The 2067-nt window shown below is 38.9% G+C and overlaps 1 annotated feature.

Moving 5' to 3' along the window:
- Positions 275 to 880: an enhancer, noted in NCBI's record as "NANOG hESC enhancer chr6:145424274-145424879 (GRCh37/hg19 assembly coordinates)". NCBI's record gives its function as "activates a minimal SCP1, AML or CMV promoter by ChIP-STARR-seq in primed H9 embryonic stem cells {active_cell/tissue: H9 hESC(primed)}" and the evidence as "EXISTENCE:reporter gene assay evidence [ECO:0000049][PMID:30033119]".

Below are 2067 nucleotides of genomic sequence, written 5' to 3'. Positions count from 1 at the left end.
AAACTGCCACTCTAAACTCTTGAAGTAAATAAATAATCTTTATTGGCAGGACTATGCTGAATATCCTTAAGCACTCTCTAATCAGATGCCCTAAGTCCTCCCAATTCTTAGACCTTTTATACCTGTTTTTCTCCTTCTTTTATTCCATTTAGTTTTTCAATTCATCCAAAACCGTATCCAGGCCATCACCAATAATTCTACACAATAAATGTTTCTTCTAACAACCCCACAATATCACCCCTTACCACAAAATTTTCCTTCAGCTTAATCTCTCCCAGTCGAGGTTCCCACACCACCCCTAATCCCGCTCGAAGCAGCCCTGAGAAACATCGCCCACTATCTCTCCATACCACCCCCAAAAATTTTCACCGTCTAACACTTTACCACTATTTCATTTTATTTTTCTTATTAATATAAGAAGACAGGAATGTCAGGCCTCTGAGCCCAAGCTAAGCCATCACATCCCCTGTGACCTGCACATACACATCCAGATGGCCAGTTCCTGCCTTAACTGATGACATTCCACCACAAAAGAAGTGAAAATGGCCTGTTCCTATCTTAACTGATGACACTGATGACATCAGTGAAATTCCTTCTCCTGGCTCATCCTGGCTCAAAAGCTCCCCCACTGAATACCTTGGGACCCCTACTCCTGCCCACCAGAGAACAACCCCCCTTTTTCCTTTACCTACCCAAATCCTATAAAATGGCCCCACCGCATCTCCCTTCGCTGACTCTCTTTTTGGACTCAGCCCACCTGCACCCAGGTAATTAAAAGCTTTGTTGCTCACACAAAGCCTGTTTGGTGGTCTCTTCACAGGGGCGTGCATGAAAATGGTACACTAGGGGAGCAAAAATATCCTTTTATTCTCTACCCATCTTAGGTCTTTAACTGGGGCCCTGTGCAATTAGATTGACAAAAGACAGATTAATAGGAGAAAAACAAATGGAAGTTTGTAACATGTGCATTGCACACATGCATGAGAGATCTCAGTGATGAGTAACTCGAAGGGGTAGTTAGAACTTGGGCTTTTATAGCATCTTAGCAAAAGAATAATAAATTTTAGAGAAGTGACAAGACAAAAGAAAAGGACTTTGAGTGTTTAGGGCAGCAAATTATGGAAAGGTAAATATATAGGAGTAACCAATGGACGATTAGTAAAGCTGATTAGTAAAGTCTTTTAAGTAAATTTCTCTGAGCTGTTAAGGGTTGAGAGTTTATCTCTGGTGATTCACTTTCTGTCCTTGATGAAGAGGGGAGTGGGGACATCTTTACAAATTTATGTCCTGCTCTTAGGCAAATGAGGGAGGACAGAGAGCTTTTCTTGTATCTGCTTCTTCTCACTTATGCTCAGCTCAAAATAATCACTATCTGGAAGTGGCATATTTGGGGTGGCCTATTCTGCCACCAGTCATTACCCTGTAGATGACAGAGTGCAAGGTAGCCTAGTGGCTAAGAGGACAAGGTTCTGAAGCAAGTCCAAGTTTGAGCTTCCTCCACTACTTAATGATAGTAGAGCCTTGAACAATTATTTAACCTCTTTTTACCTCTGTTTCTTCGTCTATATAATGGAGATAATAATAATAAAAGCATCTCCTTTATAGAGCCTTTTAATAAGAATTCAAAACATTTTTAAACATTCAAAACATTTTAAACAAATGTTGTCACATAGTAAACGTTAAATAAATATTAACTCTTAGATACTAATAATGGATAATGAATATCCCTTGATGTCTTCCAGGGATAACTTGAGGGGCTTGAATATTTTCTTCAAGATATAGAAATTGTATTTTTTCTCCCCAAACATGGCATTGAAATGAAAAACATTGAAGGAAAATTTCCTCCACATCTTGTTTATGTGCTTGTTTACTGAACATAAGGCCATTAAAATCATTTAAGTTTATAGAACATTAAAACATATATTAGGCCAAGGGAAATGTTGATGCTGAAAACATTTGCTTTCATTGTGTTGCTGGTTAAATAAAAGGCAAATCTCTCTTGGCCACTGAAATACTGCTTTCTCAGAGAACATGAGGAAGATTTACTACCCAACTGCCCTCAAATGA

The sequence above is a fragment of the Homo sapiens genome, chromosome 6 (genome assembly GCF_000001405.40).
Source record: "Homo sapiens chromosome 6, GRCh38.p14 Primary Assembly".
NCBI classification, from domain to species: Eukaryota; Metazoa; Chordata; class Mammalia; order Primates; family Hominidae; genus Homo; species Homo sapiens.
This window is presented reverse-complemented; position numbering and strand designations above follow the sequence as displayed.